Source organism: Homo sapiens, chromosome 17, assembly GCF_000001405.40.
Source record: "Homo sapiens chromosome 17, GRCh38.p14 Primary Assembly".
NCBI lineage: Eukaryota > Metazoa > Chordata > Mammalia > Primates > Hominidae > Homo > Homo sapiens.
The window spans coordinates 6461224-6483135 of record NC_000017.11 but is presented as its reverse complement, the minus strand read 5'-3'; the positions used below and the strand labels follow the sequence as shown (position 1 = coordinate 6483135).

General features: G+C 54.9%; 1 protein-coding gene across 5 annotated transcripts in view, besides 6 other annotated features; it reads left to right on the top strand.

Moving 5' to 3' along the window:
• The window catches only part of PITPNM3 (PITPNM family member 3), a 105293-nt gene that overhangs the window by 73420 nt on the left and 9961 nt on the right, over window positions 1-21912 (top strand). For 3 of the 5 annotated variants that reach the window (NM_001165966.2, NM_031220.4, XM_011524015.4), the window contains 12 exons: window positions 4400-4589; window positions 5039-5161; window positions 5923-6107; window positions 8532-8704; window positions 10309-10479; window positions 11781-11975; window positions 12728-12876; window positions 14795-14911; window positions 18365-18481; window positions 18818-18966; window positions 19255-19404; window positions 21580-21763. In NM_001165966.2, coding sequence (NP_001159438.1) covers window positions 4400-4589; window positions 5039-5161; window positions 5923-6107; window positions 8532-8704; window positions 10309-10479; window positions 11781-11975; window positions 12728-12876; window positions 14795-14911; window positions 18365-18481; window positions 18818-18966; window positions 19255-19404; window positions 21580-21763 — 1903 coding nt within the window. Of the gene's footprint in view, window positions 1-4399; window positions 4590-5038; window positions 5162-5922; window positions 6108-8531; window positions 8705-10308; window positions 10480-11780; window positions 11985-12727; window positions 12877-14794; window positions 14912-18364; window positions 18482-18817; window positions 18967-19254; window positions 19405-19496; window positions 20932-21579; window positions 21764-21912 lie in introns of those variants that run through there. The other 2 variants (XM_011524016.4, XM_011524017.4) reach the window with 2 other exon arrangements.
• Window positions 7895-8486: an enhancer, noted in NCBI's record as "H3K4me1 hESC enhancer chr17:6377970-6378561 (GRCh37/hg19 assembly coordinates)". NCBI's record gives its function as "activates a minimal SCP1, AML or CMV promoter by ChIP-STARR-seq in naive H9 embryonic stem cells {active_cell/tissue: H9 hESC(naive)}" and the evidence as "EXISTENCE:reporter gene assay evidence [ECO:0000049][PMID:30033119]".
• Window positions 8487-9079: an enhancer, noted in NCBI's record as "H3K4me1 hESC enhancer chr17:6377377-6377969 (GRCh37/hg19 assembly coordinates)". NCBI's record gives its function as "activates a minimal SCP1, AML or CMV promoter by ChIP-STARR-seq in naive H9 embryonic stem cells {active_cell/tissue: H9 hESC(naive)}" and the evidence as "EXISTENCE:reporter gene assay evidence [ECO:0000049][PMID:30033119]".
• Window positions 11266-11789: an enhancer, noted in NCBI's record as "H3K4me1 hESC enhancer chr17:6374667-6375190 (GRCh37/hg19 assembly coordinates)". NCBI's record gives its function as "activates a minimal SCP1, AML or CMV promoter by ChIP-STARR-seq in primed H9 embryonic stem cells {active_cell/tissue: H9 hESC(primed)}" and the evidence as "EXISTENCE:reporter gene assay evidence [ECO:0000049][PMID:30033119]".
• Window positions 12822-13322: an enhancer, noted in NCBI's record as "H3K4me1 hESC enhancer chr17:6373134-6373634 (GRCh37/hg19 assembly coordinates)". NCBI's record gives its function as "activates a minimal SCP1, AML or CMV promoter by ChIP-STARR-seq in naive H9 embryonic stem cells {active_cell/tissue: H9 hESC(naive)}" and the evidence as "EXISTENCE:reporter gene assay evidence [ECO:0000049][PMID:30033119]".
• Window positions 18338-18889: an enhancer, noted in NCBI's record as "H3K4me1 hESC enhancer chr17:6367567-6368118 (GRCh37/hg19 assembly coordinates)". NCBI's record gives its function as "activates a minimal SCP1, AML or CMV promoter by ChIP-STARR-seq in naive H9 embryonic stem cells {active_cell/tissue: H9 hESC(naive)}" and the evidence as "EXISTENCE:reporter gene assay evidence [ECO:0000049][PMID:30033119]".
• Window positions 18890-19441: an enhancer, noted in NCBI's record as "H3K4me1 hESC enhancer chr17:6367015-6367566 (GRCh37/hg19 assembly coordinates)". NCBI's record gives its function as "activates a minimal SCP1, AML or CMV promoter by ChIP-STARR-seq in naive H9 embryonic stem cells {active_cell/tissue: H9 hESC(naive)}" and the evidence as "EXISTENCE:reporter gene assay evidence [ECO:0000049][PMID:30033119]".

The window sequence follows — 21912 nt, the reverse complement described above, 5'->3', positions numbered from 1 at the left end:
TGTCTCTACTACAAATATAAAAAATTAGCCAGGTGAGGTGGCGGGCGCCTGCAGTCCCAGCTTCTTGGGAGGCTGAGGCAGGAGAATGGCATGAACCCAGGAGGCGGAGCTTGCAGTAAACCGAGATTGCACCACTGCACTCCAGCCTGGGAGACAGAGTGAGACTCTGTCTCAAAAAAAAAAAAAGACACGGAGTGTTGAGAGTTTAGCTAGTTTCCCCCAGGGTCGCCCAGCCCATGGAGACAGGAGTCAAACTCGGCCACACGATTGCAGCCAAGTAGGAATCTGAAAAACACGAATGGTGTTTTTCCTTTGCTCTCACACCATAACAGTCAACACAGAAGACTTCCGGGCCACATGTGAGGGGCTGTTTCCATACACACCAAGCAATCAGTTCTGCTGTGGACACCAGCTGGGTGCCCTCCAATTCAATTCTGCCTCTGTCTACCTGGAGATAGCATCAGATCCCACGGGGTGAGAGCTTGGTCCCACAAGACTGCCCCAAACTTCTGACACCGATACCATGCCCCAGTTTGTTTTATCTGTGCTGCTGACAGCCCAGCTTCAAGCTGGGGTTCTCACAACCCTGTCACTGGGTTCAATTAATTGCTAGATCGGCTCACAGAACTCAGGAAAATGCTGAATCACATTTACTGGTTTATTATAAAGGTTACAGATGAAGAGATGCATAAGGTGAGGTATGGGGGAAGGGGCACGGAGCTTCCCTAGGTGTGCCAGCCACTAGGAACCTCCACGCGTTCAGCTCTCCGGAAGCTCTCCTGTCCTTTTGGCCCTTTAATGGAGGTGTCATTGGCTAGGCATGATTGACAACATAGATATGTGGTTGGACAGAAAGGGGCTGACACTCAGACCAAGTCGGGAAACCCAACAGGGCCTGTCTGCTCAGATTCTTCTTGGCCTCTGCAGCATTCCTTCCTCCTGGGTATGGGGCAGGACTCCTTCTGAAATGAGGGTCTCATGACCTAAATCAGACAACGGAGATCAGAGAATTTCTTCACAGCCAGCTCAAGGAGGGCAGGAGAATGTCAGAGAGAGAGAGAGAGAGAGACAGAGAGAGAGAGAGAGAGAGAGAGACAGACAGAGAGAGAGAGAGAGAGAGAGAGAGAGAGAGAGAGAGAGAGAGAGAGAGGTTCTGTTTTCCTAGGGCTAAGTGCCCCAACATTATAACAACGGCTATGGGAGCCAGGAACTGTGGACAAAACCTATCTATGTATTCTCTCTCTCTCTCTCTCTCTCTCTCTCTCTCTCTCTCTCTCTCTCTATCATTCTATTCTGTTTATCTATCTATTCATCCATCCATCCGTCCATCCATCCATCCATCTGTCCATCCATTATCTATCTATCTATCTATCTATCTATCTATCTATCTATCTATCATCTGATCTATCTACCTCATAATATCACAGTGCTCTGATGGAGCATAATATCACAGAGCACAGGGCACTGTGGGCTCTCTGAGAAAGGCCAGAGAGGACTTCCTGGAGGAGTGACTTTTGGGTTTGCATACCACGGCTAAGTGTGTGGGCTCTCAGGCCGCCTGGATTTGAGTCCTGGCTGTGTGGTCTGGGGAAGGTGTTTAACTTCTCCTTGTCTCAATTTCCTAATCTGTACAATGAAGGTAGCCATAGTAAATAACCTCTCAGGGTGGCTGTGAAGAGTCTGTGTGCTAATGTGTGTGAAGCACTCAACACAGTGTCCAGAATGTAGAAAGCACATAGGGATGCCAGCCTTGGGAATGCCAGCCTTGGGGATGCTGACCTTGGGGATGCCAGCCTTGGGGATGCCAGCTGTGGGGATCTAGCCATGGGGATACTAGCCTCAGGGATACTAGCTATGGGGATGCCAACCTTGGAGATACTAGCCATAGGGATGCCAGCCTTGGGGATACTAGTCTTGGAGATACTAGCCATGGGGATGCCAGCCTTGGGGATACTAACTGTGGGGATGCCAGCTTCGGGGATGCTGGCCATGACTCACATCATCTTCCTCCTGGCTGGAAGAGGGGCTCTCTCTGCAGGTGGAGAGTGGGCTGGGGAGAGAGACTTCCAACTCGCAGCAGGGAACCCAGCTGGTGGGGAGAAAGGAGGGAAGGATGTGTCCACAGAAGGGCTGGTTGAGCGCTGGGCAGCTTGCTCACTGCTGACGCTGGCACATCCTTGCCCACTGTGGGCCCTGGCACCTGTGGGGGACAAACTGAGGGGACCTCCAGGGTATGGGGCCTCTGGGAGCTCCACCCACTGCTCCAGGCACTGAGGGCTGCAGTGCTCCCCTCCTGCCTATCCTGTTGAACTAGCTAAAGGTAGGTGCCTGGGGCCGGGTGGATACCTGGGTTCTCAGCAGTCATATGTGCAAAAATGACCCAAACGCCTACAGGGCCCAAATCCTATAGGCATTCGGCAGATCACTGGGGCTGGCAGCTGGAAGCTTTGGAACTTTCAGTCAGGGGCAGGAGGGAGGCCTCTGCACCTCTGTTCTGCCTGTCCCCCTCACAGGACCTCGCCAGAGACTTGGGGCTGCTGCAGAGCCCAGCCCTCAGGCAGAGCCCTCATACCCCGGGGCTCCGGAGCTGGGAAGGGTGGGAAGAGGTCCCCAGCAGGGTGCCAGGTGTGTGGGGCGCACCGCACTCCGAATTCCCCAGGAGAATGGGAGCCGATGTTCTCAGCCAATTGTGGCTCTGAGGAGGGCTCAGTGCGGGGAGGGCCAAAGTCCCCTGCCCTGGAGCTTCCAGCCAGTCAGGAGAGAGCACGGGCAAGCCCCTTCCCTTCCCTGGGCCTTCCTTTTCCCCCTCTAGATTGGGGGAAAGTCAGAGACTCTGATTTATCTGCGTTCCTTGGACACCAACAGGAATTGCAGGCAGATCTCAATCAGAGTTGGAAGGAAGGAAGATTAGGTCTGTAATTCCGCAACCTGGCTAATTGCCCAAATCCCTGGTGTGATTCTTGTTAAACTGCGAGATGTCCAGGCCTCCCTCCAGCAGTGGCTGATTCAGGAGGGAGGTGCCCCGGAATCTGCATCTTTGACACCTGCTCACTGCTGAACTGGTGGCGCAGCATGTTCCCTTGTCACTCTGATAGTCCAGGACTTCACTGTGCTAGTTCATCATCCGTCTCAGGAACCCCTCTACCTGTCCCCAGGACATCTGACCTCCAGAGCTGGGTCACCCCTATCTCCAGGAAGACGGATGGCCTGGCCATTCATTCATGGGGCCAGCGGGAGGGAGCTTAGTTCTCCCCCAGGCAGCTCCTTGCCAGGGCCATTCATCACCCCATAATCACGGCTGGGAGGGAGCTCTTTCTCAGCTAATTAAAATCTCTCCGGCTGCAATCGAGGCCTGCTTCCTCTAATTTGTGTTCTTTGGAGATGAGGAATGGCTGACAGGGCCAGCCTTGTACACCACGAGGACTCTGCCACCTGCTGAGAGTGCTCCAGCCCTGTCACCTGCCCCAGATTCTGTCGAGTCCCAGTGGGATGTGCACTGGGCTCCATCAGCCTGAGCTTGAGCTAAGGGGGAAGGGCAGGCTCTGGGCAGGGGTGGAGAGTTCCCAGCCTCCCTGTATGGTCCTTCCTGACCAGCCAGGTCCAACAGTGCATCTGGGTCGGAAGCCCCAGGGAACAGAAGCAGAGATGGGGGCAGAGGGAGGGGTAGGTGACTTGGAGGCACTGGTCTCAGGTGAGTCTGAGCTGCCCAGAGAGGAGGGGATTTCCTAGTGGGAAGGTAGGGAGTTGAGGGTGCCAATGCAAAGTCTGGACAGTCTGCTGGCTGGACACTGTGGGGCAGGCTTTCAGCCCCCTCGGGGGTCACAGAACTTTCTGCAAAGCTGATGAAAGCTCTGATCTTCTCCCAGTGATGCAATGAACACAACATCATGTCTGCAGCTATGTGCCCAGCTCCAAGCTGTGGCCAACATGTGAACCCCAAGCCTGGCATGTCCTCTCTCCTCCTTTCCCAGCTTCTCCAAAGCCTTTCTTGAGGCCTAGTTCAAGCCCCACCTCCTCCAGGAAGTCTGCCATGATGATATGTTCCTACATGTTCCACACTAGCTGGGTCCTCAGCTGACTTCTTCCTCTATGATTGGGGTGCCCTTTGGGGCCATGCAGAAGAGGGCAATAGAGACTGCAGTCACAGGGACCCCAGGGCCCACACCCATGGCCAGCACGGGAAGGACACACAGGGAGTCAGTGTAGGCTTGAATCCTCTTCCCCTCTCCTCCCCACACTGCCTGTGCTCTGTGTCACCAGGCTCCTGCCTGGGTCTTCCTGAAGGGTCCCTGGAGCCCAATTCCTGGCCAGTATGTGCTCTCTTCTGCCTGATCCTCAGCCCCAAACCTGCCAACCTGCCCGATCCTGGCTGGGCTCACCTTGGGCCCCCTGTCTGCAGCCTGAACCCCTACAGCCACGATGAGGGCTGCCTCAGCAGCAGCCAGGACCACGTCCCTCTGGCCGCCCTTCCCCTGTTGGCCATCTCCTCCCCGCAGTACCAGGATGCTGTCGCCACCGTCATCGAGCGAGCCAACCAGGTCTACAGAGAGTTCCTGAAGTCCTCTGATGGGATTGGCTTCAGTGGGCAGGTAGGACAGCCTGCCCTCTCCTCCTCTCCCCTCCCCTGTTCCGGCCCCGGCCTGGGAGAGAGGCTGGAATCTACTGAAAGGGCCAAGGCCAGGCTGTTCTCGAATCAGCCTCTGAGCCCAAAGGTGGCTTTTGAGATCTCTGAGTTAGCCCTCATTTTACAGATAGAAAAACAGAGGCCAACAGTCTGAGTTCTGATTCTGAGCCCATGCTGCTCTCTAGCCCAAGTCTGACCCCTGAGAGTAGCCTACTCCCCGTCCTTGGGCTGGCCTGGGCCAACGCCAACCCTGACCCTCCCCAGTTTGCACACTGCTTCCCAGTTGGGCTCTCTCAACACCTCCCAAGGACGAGTTTCTCATTCTCCTGTGGGGAGGCAGCACTGCTCTGGCCGGGTGTGGGGGTGAGGGGTCAGCAGTGGGCAGGCCTGCAGTCCCAGCTGCATCTCTTCCAGGTGTGTCTCATCGGGGACTGTGTGGGGGGCCTCCTGGCCTTCGATGCCATCTGCTACAGTGCGGGGCCCTCAGGGGACAGCCCTGCCAGCAGCAGCCGGAAGGGGAGCATCAGCAGCACCCAGGTACAGCCGGGGGACAGGACCGCGGGAGGGGTATGCCCATAGGAGCAGGGCCTGCCCCTCGGGGAGAGAGTGCTGGTTCTTCACGTTGGCACCATGACATCCAGGTCACAAAGAAGTGTATCATAATCCAGCTGGGCGCAGTGGCTCATGCCTGTAATCCCAGCACTTTGGGAGGCCGAGGTGGGCAGATCACCTGAGGTCAGGAGTTTGAGACTAGCCTGGCCAACATGGTGAAATCCCATCTCTACTAAAAATACAAAAATTAGCCGGGCATGGTGGTGGGTGCCTGTAATCCCAGCTACTTGGGAGGCTGAGGCACGAGAATCACTTGAACCCAGGAGGTGGAGTTTGCAGTGAGCCAAGATCGCACCACTGCACTCCAGCCTGTGTGACAGAGGGAGACTCTGTTTCAAAAAGGAAAAAAAAGAAGAAGAAGAAGAAGAAGTGTATCATAATTCTACAAGAGTAGCAGGGGATTATTATGACAGGTGTGGAAACTGAGGCCTGGAGAGCTGGATTTGGCCCCTTCGACAGCCATCCAGCATCCCAGTGGGAATGTCAATCCCGGTGGATGCGGGAGAGAGCCTGTGCCTAAAATCCTACCATGATTGCAATGTGGCTTCCTGTGTCTTTTGGAAGAAGGGTAGCCCCTCACATCTTAGGATGAAGGGGTTGGTTTGTGCTTGGGGGGAGGAGACAAGGCCCCAGAGTCTCCCGTGACAACAGTCTTTTTCTCTCCTGTCCCCTGTTCGGTCCCAAAGGACACCCCAGTCGCGGTGGAGGAAGATTGCAGCCTGGCCAGCAGCAAGCGTCTCAGCAAAAGCAACATTGACATCTCCAGTGGGTTGGAGGATGAGGAGCCCAAGAGGCCGTTGCCGCGGAAACAGAGCGACTCCTCCACCTATGACTGCGAGGCCATCACCCAGCACCATGCCTTCCTCTCAAGGTAGCCCCTCCCTGTCCAGAAGCAAGAAGACCTTGGCTCAGAGCCAACTGGGAGGGCTGTGACCAGTCAGATGTCCCAGGCCCTTCCATGGGGGCCCATAGATAAGCACTGAAATGCTGGGACCAAGGCCACTCGCCATCGGCCCTGTACTGAGGGACCACAGCCACTCGTCGGCAGCCCTGTACTGAGACTCTGGAACCTGGTTCCCTGTCCCTGCCCTGCTCTGACTTGCAGAGAGACTGGGAACAGTCGTCCTTTTCTGAGCCTCGGCTTTTCTTCTGCAAAAAGATAATGCTGCCCAGCCTACTTCACTGCATGGTTTTAAGAACCTGGCGGAGTAATTGCTGTGACTGTGTTTTGTGAGTCACCCGAGGTGTGTGTTGTTATCATTTCTCATAGGGAAAGAGAGGGTCAAGTAGGTCAGGAACTTTCTAGAGGTCATGCAGCCAGTGACGGAAGAGCTGGGATCATCATTCTGGTCTCCCTATCCCAAGTTCATGTATCTAATCCAACACACTTTTGTTTATGGGCCAGGCAGGCTCCTCTACAGAACTGTTTGCCCTTTAACTTTCTAGAAGAGACATGTTAATCAATGTGGGCTAAACACATTATCTGCACATTAATTCAGCTTACACGTTAATTGAACTTGGACCCAAATTGGAAGGAATGTCTCTTTCTTTTTCCTCTGCTCCTCAGCTCTCTTCTTCCTTCCTTTCTCCTTCCTCCTTACCCAAGTGATAAGTATCATGAGGTCATTACAACATTTGGAAGATAATCATCTCACCACCCAGAGGGAGCCAACAGTCTCATTGTTAACATAGAGACTGTTTCCTTCTACATGCTTTTAAGATCGTTTTATTTTAAAAAAACCCTTTATATTGTGATCTTTTCCTGATATAATTAAAAATACTTGATAAATATTCTTAATGGCAATATAATGTCGAATGAATGGATATCAGTTTACTTAATCCCTATAATTAGGCATTTTGGCTGTTTCCAATTCCTTAGCAGTATAAATAGCCCTACAGTGAACATCTTTGTGCATAAACGTTAATGTATATATTAGGGTGATTATATTTGGATGGATTCCTGGAGGAAGAATTATTAGGTCAAAGACTCTGCACATTTAAATCTCTGAATGTTTAAAGCCCCGCTGACAGATGATCCTTTAGAAAAGCAGCTACCTTCTAGTGAGGCTTGCAAGGTGAAAAATCTCAACAGTCCTGGCTCATCCTTGAAAAATCCTTTAGGAGAGCCCCAAATTTGGAGAGTGATGAGAAGTTGGAGGCTTCCAGGAGCTGGTCTGACACAGCCAGCTTTCCCCTCTGGTGTAGGGACAGATGGTGGTTTCTTTGGCAATTAAGTAGTTGGCATGTGTTTAGGGACCACGCTGTACATGAAATATGTATTGTTAAACATCAGAGTCATCATCTCACTGTGAGATGCTCACACTGCAAGAGGCAGGAGGGAGTGCGGAGACTGAGGATTCAACTTTGCAGACTCGCTCACTCCTGAGGGTGGGGCACTTGTCCACATGATTTCAATAGCTCTTTCTAAAGTTTGTTCTCCTCTGACTCAAGTAGTTTAGTTGCTTTGCATTCAGTTAATCGATTCACTCTAAGCTGCAGCTAATGGCTAGCTGGAAGGTCAGGGAGGTGCCCAGGTTTCCTTCTGATTCTCAGCGTCCTACTCTGGGTCTGTGGCTGAACGTAACTTGGATTCTTCCCGGGACAGTGGGCACCTGGGTTGGAAATGGTTGGAATTCTGTGTGTCTCACATTTTTCTCCTTAAGCTCTGCTTCATCTGTGGGCTGGGGCTGGGGGTGGGGAGACCAAGCTGTTTGCATCTGTGTCTGCGGGTTGCCTGGAACAGGAATTACGATGAAAGCCCTGATCCCAGCAGAACAGAACTGACGTTAGCCAGCTGAGTGTTGGGCAGGCTGGGCTTGTCTGGTACACAGTGCAGGAATCCTCAGTGTGGCCAACACAAAGCCAGCATGACGAGGCAGGCCTGCCAGTGTGTAGGATGCTCAGGCGCCCCAGGTGCTCAGCCTGTTTTTGTAAGTAACATTTGATTGGATCCCAGCCATGCATATTTAATCACTGTCCATGGGCGCTTTTATGCTGCAATGGCAGAGTTAACTAGATGCAATGGAGACCACACGGTCCATGTCGTCTGAAATATTGACTCTCTGGCCCTTTGCAGAAAAAGTTTGTTGATTCCTTTTCTAGCCAAATATCAGCCAGGCCTTGGTGGCCAGTGCTGACTGTAGGTGGTGTGCAGCCGGTGGACTCTCAGCCCCGCCCCAGAGATGGAGGGTTGGGCACTTCACGCTCAGAATTCAGGCTGCGCTGCTGTGTGAACACTCCCGCATTCTCGGTCCTTCCCTGACCTGCCCTGCCCTGCGTCCTCCTCCCTCCGCAGCATCCACTCCAGCGTGCTAAAGGATGAGTCTGAGACCCCGGCGGCTGGGGGGCCGCAGCTCCCTGAGGTCAGCCTGGGCCGCTTTGACTTCGATGTGTCCGACTTCTTCCTCTTCGGCTCGCCACTGGGCCTGGTCCTGGCCATGCGGAGGACGGTGCTGCCTGGGCTGGACGGTAGGGATGGTGTGGGCTGGGGCCTGAGGTGCCTGTGCGTCACTAGGGCCACCGTGTCAGGGCCTCAGAATGAGGAGAGTGAAGTCGGGGACAGGGGCAGGGAGGGTCACAGAGTTGGGATAGGTGGAAAGAGAGGAGAGAGGGTGGGGAAGAGGAGGGAGAGAGGAGCAGCTTCCCTCCTGACACAGGGCGAAGGTGAGGCAGCTTCAGATGGATTTCACTCTCCATGTCAAGTGCCCCTGGCTGCTTTGTGGCCTCATTGTCCGGTGGTCACGCCCTATGGGGAAGAGAAGACAGAATATTCAACCTCTTGCCTCCCACCCTCTCCTTCTCCTGTACTGAGGCAGATACGACTGCCAGGTTGGTCTCACCACCCACCCCCGCATATCCCCAAGCCCACCTCAGGTGCCTTTGCTCATGCAATACCTGCAACCTTTTTTTTTTTTTTTTTTTTTGAGATGGAGTCTCACTCTGTCACCCAGGCTGGAGTGCAGTGGCGCGATCTCAGCTCACTGCAACCTCTGCCTCCCGGGTTAAACCAATTTTCCTGCCTCAGCCTCCCGAGTAGCTTGAAGTACAGGCACCCACCATGACGCCCAGCTAATTTTTGTATTTTTGGTAGAGATGGAGTTTCACCATGTTGGCCAGGCTGGTCTCGAACTCCTGACCTCAAGTGATCCACCCGCCTTGGCCTCCCAAATTGCTGGGATTACAGGCGTGAACCACCGTGCCCGGCTAATACCTGCAACCTCGAATGCCTTTTCCTGCTCCTCTAAAATGTACACACCAGGCGATTGGCACCAGCAGGCATGAGGGGTGGGGAGGGTATCTGTGACTCTTAAGGACAGAAGTACAGACCGTCTGAGGCTGCAGGGCACCTTGGGTATCCACAGATCCATGCTTTTGGCCAAAGCTTACTGACAAGCTACAGTATGGAACAGATAAAGTGGGTGGTAGAAATGGAGGCGAGGAGGCAGAACCCCATGGCTGCCCTCAGTGTCGCTAATGAACCCTAGGGCTCCCTGGATGCTGGACGGTCCAGTCCCTGTTCTAGGAGGACAGGGAGGCCCGCCGATGAGGTGGATGCCTCAGTGGAGACACCTGCTGGTCAGCGAGAGAAGTGTTCCACCAGCTCTGGCAAACCTGGAACTCTAGCAGCAGGCCTGGGAACTGAGTGTTTATAGCCTTGAGGCCTGTGGAAGGGGCAGCTGACCTGCCTGAAGGAACCTGGGTTGGCTTCCTAGGTCAGGTGGTAACTGAGTGAAAACTGGAAGAATCTAAAGGAGTTGCCCCGTGGAAATGGGGGAGGGAGGGCCCACAAGGAGAAGGGATGTTTTGAGCAAAGGCTCAGAGAAAGGAAAGCTGCAAGCCTGATTGGGGAAGGGCAGCTGTGCAGCACGGCTGCAGTGCTGGGTGCCTGTCACTGCGCTCCTGGGTGGGGAGACAAACTGAACGTAATGGCTTTGTTCCCGTGGGGAGCAGGGAGCCCGGGGAGGCTCTTGAGAGGGGAGTAGGCTACTCCAGGCTGCATTCCAGGGAGCCTCCTAGGGCCCAGGGAGCAGGTACTAGAAAGTGGCTTCCCTCTGTCTTCCCACTCACCCCAGGCTTCCAGGTGCGTCCTGCCTGCAGCCAGGTCTACAGCTTCTTCCATTGCGCAGACCCCTCTGCCTCACGGCTCGAGCCACTGCTGGAGCCCAAGTTCCACCTGGTGCCGCCTGTCAGCGTGCCTCGCTACCAGAGGTTCCCACTGGGCGATGGGCAGTCCCTCCTCCTCGGTAGGTTCTTGGGGGTGGGAGAGAGTGTGCTGAGCTGGAGGTGGGGCCCCAGCCCATTCAACCCCTCCAAGCTCTCAGTGAGTAGGGTGACTCACCTGAGCAGGGGCTGTGAGAACAGAAGGTTAGCCGACTCCTCTGTCTTCAGAGTCGCCCACCTGTGCTAAGCACCTGCTTGTCTGAGGCATCTTGGGGCTCAGAGGCCCCCAACAGGCTCCCGGACACACTCCTGTGGCCAGGGCTGGTGTAAACTTGAGCTTTCAGAGCTGATGGCGGGTCCAGGGATCCGTGCTCCAATCTATTTTTTTTATGAGTGCCCAGCCTGGACTCTGAAGGGGTAGGGCAGAGAGTGTGCCATCCTGGTGGGCTTCATGGAAGAGGTGGCCTTTGATTAGGGTCCAGAGAGGGGAGGTGCATTTGGGCAGGTGGAGAAGAGCTAGAGGATGAGGGTTGAGATCTTCCAGGCAGGGAGAACAGCAGGAGCGAGGGCAGGTGTTTTGGCGAAGAGCCAGTGGCCTCCAGGGTCAAGTGGGGTGAACCGGGCATGGACCGAGTGTATCGTCGATGGGAGACCTGTAATGGACAGTCAGCAGCTTGGAAATCGGAGCCTTGGCTCCACGCCCTACTTGAGGAAATTTAGCCTAAGCCTGCTCAGAGGTTTGCGTCAGGGATGGGGGAGTTGTGCATGGGGCCGATTCAGGATTAAAAACCATCCCTTCCTCACCCCTAATTCAATGGAGCCTTTATTTCCAAATCCCTGCCTGCCTGGAGCTTCAATAGGTCGGCTAGGCTGGAAACCTCCCTCCCCCATGGATCCCTCTTTGGTCAGGGGACTCCCCTCCCTCCCCTGAGGCTATCCTAGCTCTCAGGCTGGAGTCCCCATTCCCTTCCAGAGGCAGCCTCAATTCTTTGTGGCGCAGGGGAGGAGTTGGATAAGAGAGGATATGGCTATGAGTCACTCCTGGGACCTCAGCTGGTGCTTTTGGGGCAACGTCCCAGAGGCTCCCTCTGCAGCTTTATTGGAGGTAGGGGTGATGGCTGGGACTCCAGCTTGTGTCTGCATAACTCACAGCTGCAAGGAGGTAAATGCGGCAATATGCGGTGGCAGCGGGGTCCCTTCAGGCCCAGGGGACTGGTGGGGTGGGCACAGTGAGAGGGGCAGGTGCCTGCTGGGCTGGCAAGTGAGCAGAGCCGGGGCTGACTCCTCCAAGTGCCCAGCCTCCCTCCCAGCATGGGGCTGGCACTGAGTGGGCAGCTCTGCTGGAGACACGTGACTCAGCCTGACCTTGAAATTCCCCCTCCAGCTGATGCCCTACACACCCACAGCCCCCTCTTCCTGGAGGGCAGCTCCCGGGACAGCCCGCCACTTCTGGATGCCCCTGCCTCGCCCCCTCAGGCCTCGAGGTTCCAGCGCCCAGGACGGAGGATGAGCGAGGGGAGCTCCCACAGCGAGAGCTCGGAGTCCTCGGACAGCATGGCACCCGTGGGTGCCTCCCGCAGTGAGTGAGGTCCTTTTGGGGCCCTGCCTGGATTCGGGGGAGGGGAACCTTCCTCTGGGTGTTTGCTGGGCCACTGCTAGAGCTGCTGAGGGCAGGCCCTGGGATAGGGAGAAGGTGAAGGAAGTCCTGGGGGCTTGCTTCTGCCTTTAGAGAGCTGGGCGTCTGCTGATGGAGACCTGGCATCGGTCCAGATCCTCACTCTGGCCCCAAACTGAGCTCTGACCTTGGAGGAACCTTGACCTCTGACCCTGGACAGAGCCCTGAACTCTGACCCTGCCTCAAATCAGAGCTCTGACCTTGAGGAGAGCAGTGACCCCTGATCCCTGACAGGGTCTGAGCTTTGACCTCAAACAGAGCCCTGACCTTTGACCCTGGACAGGGCTCTGACCTCTGACCATTAAGGAAGTGCTGAACCTTCCAGACATAGACTCAGCGCCAACTTCAGGCAGAGCCCACTGGGAACTGCCACTGAGCGGCGGCCCTGGGTGAGACTGTGGACGTCTCTGTGGGTCTGGCCCTCCTTCCTGGGCATGGGCTTGGCACGCACATCTTAGGGGAGGGCTGGTGGGTTTTGAGAAGGAAGGAGGAAGAGCAGCGCGTTCCCCAGGCCTCCTCCAGGCCAGGGTGCTCCCGCCCAAACCCGTGCCCCACGTGGGGCATCCACCACCAGTCTGTGCAATGGGAGACCCCGCTGCCCCTCGGGTGAGGCCCCGGGCCGGCCACGCATCCTCACCTTCCTCTCCGACCCACAGTCACAGCCAAGTGGTGGGGAAGCAAGAGGATCGACTATGCCCTGTACTGCCCTGATGTCCTCACGGCCTTCCCCACCGTGGCCCTGCCCCACCTCTTCCACGCCAGTTACTGGGAGTCCACAGACGTGGTGGCCTTCATCCTGAGACAGGTACTGCTGCCGCAGTCGCGGGCCTGCCCACAGCCACCCCAAGGGGGTACCGCCCCTTCTCCAGCTGGAGAGGAGGCTATTCTTGCAGACACTGTTCAGCTTTTGGCCTTGATCCTAAGAGCATGAGGAAGGCATTGGAGCACCTACGTGAGTGGGGAGTGACATGACCAGAGAATGGGCTTCATAAAGACATTGGCTCCTGGGTGGCTGACGGCATGGTACACTCTAGAAAATTAAATATAAACTACGCAGGAGAGTGTCCCAGTGTTTCAACTTGGAGACTGGAGTAGTCAGTTCCCACTCCCCACTGAGTCTCAATGTCCTCGTCTGCAAAACAGAAGGTATAGCAGAAAGGCCGGCGCCAGAAGGAGAGCCTGGTGGGGAGGGAGTCTGGGGAGCTGGTAGGGGTCATGATGTTCATGAACAGCCGTGATGGCCAAGGTCAGGGGTATGGTTTTATATTGGGTTCAACGGGAAGCCATTGCAGGGCTGTGAGCAAGGAAGAAATAGCAACTGGCTTGTGTTTTTTGAAGGAAACCCTGAGGCTGAGGCTGCTGTTTTCACGGCAGGAGAGGAACCATGAGGCCTCTTGTGAGGCCAGTGCAGGGGCCCAACTTAGAGAGGAGGCTTGGAGTAGGACAGGGGGTGGAGGTGCCACAGAGTGGCAAGATTTGCATTACGGTGAGAGCGCTTGTGGCTGTCTGCGTTGTAGGAGAAAGACGGGAGCCCAGTACGTCCTGTTTCCCACTTGAGTGACTAAGGTGGTTCTGTGTCCTGCACGTGCGGAAGAGCAGGGCTGGGCAGGGGGCGGAGGAAAGTGAGTTTTGTTTGTAGGTTCTTGGGGGTGGGAGAGAGTGTGCTGGGCTGGGGGTGGGTCCCCAGCCCGGTGGCACCCAGGCCAGGGTGCTCCAGCCCAAACCTGTGCCCCACGTGGCACATCCACGACTGTCTGGGTGTGTGAAGTGTGAGCTGCCTCTTAGTTGCTGGGACGGAAGGGGAGTAGAGGAGTCTGGAACTTAGAGAAGACATCAGGATTCCAGATAAAAATGTGGGTGTCATCAGAGCTTGGACGGCATTTACAACTGGCGATGAGTGCCAGACTAAGGGTGCTCCTACAGAGAGGGAAGTTCAGGGATGAGTCCTGGAGCTCCCCCAGGGAGAGAAGGAGAAGCCACTGAAGGAGAGAAGAGGACATCCCTGAGGTTGGAGGACCCAGAGAGTGTAGGGAGAGGACCCCTGAGATAGGCGGGGTGGGAGTCACCGGGGCAGTGGCAAGAATGGCTTCCGTAGAGGAGTGATGGAGAAGAACCCTGACTGGAGTGGGTGGAGGAGAGGGGGCAGGTGAGGAAGGGGTGACAGCATATGGGCTAAGTCCTCTGTCAGTGCTGCTGTGAGGGACAGCAGGGATGTGGCGGTCACTGGAGAGGCATGAGGAATCTGAGAGAGTATTTTTTAAGATGGGCAGTATTACACGTATTTGAATGCTAAGGAGAGTGATCTAGCGGAGGGAGTCTAATCAGCTCTGCGGGATTGGGAGGGGAGCATGGCTGGAGCAACGTCCTCAAGAAGCAAGGAGGGGCTGGGATCAGGACTCAAGCCGGCCTTAAGAAAGGGCCACCTTGTTGTAACAGAGGGAGGGCAGAGAGTGGGGACAGATAGAGGTGGCTGCCAGGTTTGGGCACAGCGGGGCAGAGACTTCTCTCAGGAAGGGAGCCAGCTGGGAGACTGCTCTGGCCCCAGCTATCAGGACAGGAATGCAGGTCCCGGGGTCTGCGGCCTCCTGACGGTTCCAGGCTGTGAGGTTGGGGGGTTGCAGGGGCAGGGCCCAGCTGGCCACAAGCTGGTGGGCACTGACACCCTGGGAGGGAAGCAGAGAAGCCAGAAGACCTGACCGGGGCCCTGCTCGGCTCTTGGCTAGGTAATGCGCTATGAGAGCGTGAACATCAAGGAAAGCGCCCGCCTGGACCCTGCAGCACTGAGTCCTGCCAACCCCCGGGAGAAGTGGCTTCGTAAGCGGACTCAGGTCAAGCTGAGGGTGCGTGCATGCTCAGTTCGCATGTGGCTGGGACTGTGTCCTCCGGGAGGTGGGGCTGGCCCGGGGGCTGGGGCATCCACATGGGAGGTAAGCGCTTCAATTTGTCCTCAGAGCTCAGCACCCAAACAGGCTGGGGCTCACACTCAGATGGAGCCCAGGCACTGCAGCTGCAAGGGTGTGTGAGTTGCTTCCCATGGCCTGGTTCCACAGGAGCCCTGAGGGCAGGAGTCCAAGACACTAGGGTTGGTGAGGAGATACCAGTTATGGAGCAATTGCTATATGCCAGGCTACAGTAGATGTGGACTTGAATCAGAAAGAGTCCTGGATCTCAGTCACTTACCATTGAGTATGGCCTGGTGTGATATTTGATAGAGGAAGGTACAGATTAAGACAAAGATGGAAAGAAGGATTGTAAGGGCAAATCATTCAGGGCTTCTCTGAAGAGGCTCCTCTGTGGGGTATTGAAGGATGAATAGGAGTTTGAGGTGCATAGATTTATTTATTCACTCAACAAACGATCATCAGTGCCTACTCTGTCTCAGTCATTCTGCTAGAGAGTGGAGCACAGGGTTGTACAGACACAACCATTGCTATGGTAGGCATCTCCAGTCTGGTGAAAAGACCAGACATGGACCCCAAGAACAGTCCTAAAAGGTAGAAGGAGATCAATCCTTCATGAACCAACTCTTTTTTGGTAAACATATTTATTGAGATAAAATCCACATATTCTATAATTTACCCATTTAGATAGTACAATTCAGTGGATTTTAGTATATTCACAGATGTGTGCAACCATTACCATGGTCAGTTTTAGAGCTTTTTCATAACCTCCAAAAAGAAGCTCTGTACCCTTTAGCTGACACTCCCTCACTTGCCCCAGGCAATCAGTAATCGACTTTCTGTGCCTGCAGATTTGCCTATTCTGGACATTTCATTTCGATGAAATGATGTAATATGTGACCATTTGTGTCTGGCTTCTTGCACTTAGCGCACTGTCTTCAAGGTTCATCCAACTGGTCGCTGTGTCAGAAATTCCTTTCTGAGGCTGAATAATATTCCGTTGTATGGAGATGCTACGTTTTGCTTATCCATTCACTACCTGATGGACATTTTTTGGGTTGTTTTCACCTGTTTTTTTTTTTTGGTTTTTTTTTTTTGTTTTGAGACGGAGTCTTGTTCTGTCGCCCAGGCTGGAGTGCAGTGGTGCAATCTCAACTCACTGTAACCTCCCCTCCCTGGTTCAAGTGATTCTTCTACCTCAGCCTCCCAAGTAGCTGGGATTACAGGTGTTCACCACCATGCCCGGCTAATTATTTTATTTTATTTTATTTTTTGTATTTTTAGTAGAGATGGAGTTTCGCCATGTTGGCCAGGCTGGTGTTTTCACCTTTCGGCTACTATGAATAATGCTGCTATGAACGTCCATGTATAAGTTTTTGTGTTTTTCATTTCTCCTGTGTTTTCATTTCTCTCGGGTAGATGCCTAGAAGTGCAATTTCTGTATCAAATGTTAACTCTATGGTTAATCATATAGGGAACTGCCAGACTGTTTTCCACAGTGACTGTACCATTTCACATTCCCACTGCAATGTATGAGGATTCTGATTTCTCCGCATCTTCAGCAACCCCTGTTATTATCTGTCTGTTTGATTCTAGTCATCCCGGTGGGTGTGACGGGGTATTTCATTGTGGTTTTGATTGCATTTCTCTAATGACTCGGGATGCCGGATCTTTTCAGGTGCTTATATTCATGAACCAGCTGCTCCCTCTCCCCTGACAGTGCACCTGTAAGGGGGCCTGCGTTCCCTACTTGGCTGAGTGTCTCCAGGGCAGGGCCCACGACTAGTTTATCTCAGGGACCCCATGCAGATGAGGTGTCTGCAGATATTTGTTGGATTGAATTAAAATGCATGGGAATTGAAAGGAGGTTGAGAACCTGTCTTTGAGGAGTCCGAGGAGTGTTTCTTGGCGATGATGGCGCTGAGTCTAGTCATAGCGAATGGGCTGGAATGTGGGGGAAGAGGGCCAGGGCCAGGGATGGCACCTAGAGCCAGTGTGGGGGGCGGGACAGCGGTGTGAGCAAAGGCCTGGAGGCTGCTGCAGAGCCTGGCAGAAAGGACCAGAAGGTGTGGATGGGGAGCAGCAGGAGACAGACTGAAGAGGTCGTTCAGGCAAGCCTTGGAAAGCTAAGCTCAGGTTCCGGACTCTACGCAGAGGGCAGTGGGGAGCCCGGGAGGGTGTTAGTAGAGCTGTGCTTTATAGAGACAGAGGATCTGTTGCAGGGACTGCCTTTGAGGAAGGAGCTCCATTAGGGAGCTGTTAGCAGCATCCAGGCGATGTGGCTGTGCGAGAGATGAAGATGTGGCCAGTGCGGTAAAGGAGTGGTCACTAGATGGAGAGACTGGGGTCTTGGAGGCCAGGCTGGGAGTGGGGGCTGGTCAGGGCCAACACAGGCTGCAGAATGAACTGAAACCAGTTCATTGATAAATGAAGAAAAATAGGGAGGTTGAGACAGTCACAGATAAAATGACGCAGCGTCCAGGATTGCTCCAGGATAATCCCGGTGGGGCTGGGGCCGAGGCTGGGGAATTGGGCAAGGGAAGAACGAAACCAGGATGGCCACGAGTTTGTTGCTAAGTGGTGGAGCAGGTGCTGGGAACACGAGGCTTTGTTACACTCTTCTCTCTCTCTATGCTTGTGCATTTGAAATTTTATCTTAAAAAAAAAGACAGATAGTAAATACTGTTGGATGTGAGCTGTGATGTAGAAGAAAGAACCAAAAGTGACCAGGCAGTTTCCAGCCCGGGGATCTGGAAGATAAGCACAGGCTGTGAGGCCAGTTGTCCCCTCAGGGCCGAGCAGAGTCAAAACAGAGAACGGGCCAGGCACGGTGGCTCATGCCTATAATCCCAGCACTTTGGGAGTCCGAGGTAGGCAGATCACCTGAGGTCGGGAGTTCGAGACCAGCCTGATCAACACGGAGAAACCCCATCTCTACTAAAAATATGACATTAGCCAGGTGTGGAGGCGCATGCCTGTAATCCCAGCTACGCAGGAGGCTGAGGCAGGAGAATTGCTTGAACCCGGGAGGTTGCGGTGAGCCGAGATTGCGCCATTGCACTCCAGCCTGGGCAACAAGAGCAAAACTCCTTCTCAAAAACAAAAAACAAAAAACAAAACAAACAAACAATCAATCAAACAAAAAACACGAAAGCAGAAAACGTACAATGGCAGGAAGCCCTGTGCACCTTGAAGACAGCGTTTGGGGGACTCACGGTCTGTTTTTCTCACACGTTCCCTGGGAACACATCTCTGAAACTCTAGCAGAAGTTAGTAGAGAGACATGATTCAGCAAGCTGATATGCCTCCAGCCAGTCTGAGGAACACTGCAATGATAAAGCAAGGTTGAGCCTCCCTTGCAAGGGCTGAGCCAGCTTCTTTCTGTCCTTCCAGAATGTCACGGCTAATCACCGGGCCAATGATGTGATTGCTGCTGAAGATGGCCCCCAGGTCCTGGTGGGGCGGTTCATGTACGGGCCCCTCGACATGGTGGCTCTGACTGGAGAGAAGGTACCTGGGGCTGGGCCTCCCCTCCTCAGCCACTCCACCTGCACCAGGTGCCTCATGGAGCCACATAGCGTGTGGGGTGAGGGTGTCAAGAGGGCCGAGCTGCCTGGGGTGGAAGCACAGGGCCAGGAGCTACCCACCTGCTTGGGCGGGCCGGGAAGGGTGAGCAAGGAGGAAAGGATGGGCTCAGAGTATCCAAGGACAAATGAGGAGCCAGGCTGGCAGGAGCCAGGGAATGTCAGGCAGGGACCTCAGCCCAGAGTTCCCCCGCCCAGCCCCTCTGCCAAGCCTGTAGCCCCTCAGCCTTCAGGGAGTCCCTGACCCCCTTCACTGCCGCAGGTGGACATCCTAGTAATGGCAGAGCCATCCTCAGGCCGCTGGGTACACCTGGACACAGAGATCACCAACAGCAGTGGTCGCATCACATACAATGTGCCGCGGCCCCGGCGCCTGGGGGTTGGTGTCTATCCTGTGAAGATGGTCGTCAGGTAAGACCCAGGGGCCATTCTCAGGGTGGTTTCTCTCATTTCTATGGCCCTTCCAGCCAGGCCTGTCTAGAGGATGGGGTCCTTGGGGTTCTTTGTGGGCCCCCATCTCTGTCTGCATGGACAGAGGTGGATGGGAGAGGTCACCAGCCGTGGCATCAGGAGATGCCACCCAGGTGCTCTCTGACCTTGACCCAGACTGAGCTCTGACTGCAGCTACAGGCTGACCTCTGGATTCCGGCTAACGTCTGACCCTGACCTCACGGCTGACCACAGGCAGGTTTCTTTCAGGGGCGACCAGACCTGTGCCATGAGCTACCTCACGGTGTTGCCCAGGGGCATGGAGTGTGTAGTGTTCAGCATTGATGGGTCCTTCGCGGCCAGCGTGTCTATCATGGGAAGCGACCCCAAGGTCCGGCCGGGTGCAGTGGATGTTGTCCGGTGAGTGCCACCTTCCACGAGGGCTATATCTCCCTGGGGGGCAGGAGCCAGCAGCCCTGGGGGAAATATGTTGTTTTTCTGATTTGCTGTAGGAATTCTACCGGTCTCTGGGGCTGCGAGCTGAGAAGCCCTGGCTTTACCTCCAACAGTAATTTATTGAGTATCCTTGGGAAAATTTCTCCTGCTTTCTAGACCTCAGCTTGTCTGTTTCTTCCTCTCTCCCTCCCTCCCTCACTTCCTTCCTCCCTCCCTCAATTCCTTCCTTTTTTCCTTCTTCCCTCCCTGCCTCCCTCCTTCCCTCCCTGCCTCCCTCCCTGCACTCGTGCACGCATCCGCTGCTTTCTGAGGCCCCCTGTGGCTGGGCTGTGTGCTGGGCACTGATGCAGAGCGAGCTCTTAAGTCAGAGGACACTCAGAGTCTGGTGGGGAAAATAAGTCACAGGCATGAGAAACTGTAACCCAGGACTCCAAGTGATCAGAACCTCGAGAGTAGGACAGATGCCAGGCACTGGAAGTTCCTGGGGGCTGGAGACTGCCCTGCCTCACCCCAGTAACAGTGACGGTTTTGGGGAGAGAAGACGGGCCTGGCTCCTGGGCTCCTGGGAGACTGCTGGCCTCAAGATGCCCAGCAGCTCCGTAAGAACAGGCCTAGACAGGCTGAAGCCCATTTCAGGGGGCCAGCCTCCCCCTTGTAGAGCTAGGTCATTTGTTGCCATTACAACAAATCCCTCCTGCGTCACAGTCCCCCTCCCACTGCAGGGAAGGGGAGGCTGTGGTCCTTCCTCTCTGGGGGTCCATGATCCTCCCACTGCCTTCCATGGGCTCCAGGGTGCTCCCCATGGTGCTCCACATGGTGCTCCCCAAACCTCGACAGTCATCAGAAACTCCCCTTTTCATAAACACATCACTGGGCCCCACATCAGAACTAACCAGAATCCCTAGGGGTGATCCCTGCACCCCTGAGTTTGTGTAGAGCATCCCCAGATCCCTCAGATCATCATCCAGTTTTAGAACTCCCCATCTCTATTAGCTGGTTCTGGTGGCAGGTGCCATAAAGGTGCCCAACCAGGTCTGGGCTTACCTGACATCTTGCAGCCAGGATTCTGTGTGAAGTCAGCCAACCAGAGCTATCCCACTGCACTGTGAGAGCACAGAGGAAAGAGGCTGATTCTGCTTGGGAAGCAGGGAAGGCTTCCTGGAGGAAGGGGGGTCTTGAAAGATGGAAGATGGGAATATCAGGAGATGGTGCCGTAGGGGCTGTGTAGGGGAGTGCTGTGCAGCAGAAGAGCCAAGGGTTTGTTCAGGGGGCAGCAAAGCAGCTCTGGGTGGGCTGGAGAGATCCCATATGCAAAGGCAGAGCAGAGACATGGCCACAGAGGCAGAGAGAGGACTTGAGGCTCTACCTCAGGGCGCTGGGGAGCTGGAGATGCTGTTAGACAGAGGAGTGCTGGGGTTAGATTTGCGATGTACAGGAATCACCATGGAAACACTGCGGAGGATAATAATAAAGCCAGCCACACCAAGCATACCACCTTGCTATGCATGTTTGGGATTAACTCCTTTCGTCTTTAGGACAACCTTGTGGGGTAGTTCATATTATTATGCCCATTTTACAGAGGGGGAAACTGAAACCGTGGGAGGTTGGGGAGGGTTGAGTAATCTGCCCAGGGTTACAGGGCTCAGGTTAGATGTGGGTAGGAGTAGGGGTGGAGGGAAAGAGGCCGCCCAGGAGGCTTTTGTAGTGGCCCAGGAGAGAGATGGGGCCCGAGCTAAGGATGAGAAGCAAGGCTTAAGTGAGAGGGCTGGGGGAGGGGTTAAAGAGTCTGGCCTGGTGAAAGCGAAAGGCTTTCTTCCTGGAGGAGGAGGAGGGAGGGAGGCACAGGGAACAGGGAAGAATGAAAGGCGCCTGTCTCTGACTCTGAAGTGGCTGTGAGCAGAGGGGCAGGGGTGAGGAGATGAGTTTGGATATGGGCCTGTGGCATCTGCAGGCCTGATCCAGGGGAGATGTCCAGGGCTCAGCCCAGAGAGGGGATTCGGGGTCCCCCTTGTTCTCCCTAGCACGCCTCAGACTCGTCCCTCTGACGTCTCAGGAGGGCAGCTGCGGGCAGGGCAGGCTTCTGGGCATCAGGTGGCCTGCACTGGGCAGGGCTGGACCCTTCTAATGCCATCTCACCAGGCACTGGCAGGACTTGGGCTACATGATCCTTTACATCACGGGACGGCCGGACATGCAGAAGCAGCGGGTGGTGTCGTGGCTGTCCCAGCACAACTTCCCACAGGGCATGATCTTCTTCTCCGATGGGCTGGTGCATGACCCGCTGCGGCAGAAGGCCATCTTCCTGCGCAACCTCATGCAGGAGGTGAGTGGCCATCCTGGGGTGGGGACTCCATGGCTTGAGAGCGCAGCCCTCCTCTCCACCGCTCCCCATCTCCCTCCTCCCGGGTGGGGCCTTGTGATGTGCAGTCTGTAAATCCCATTCCCGTGGATCTGGATGGGCCCTCTAGCAGC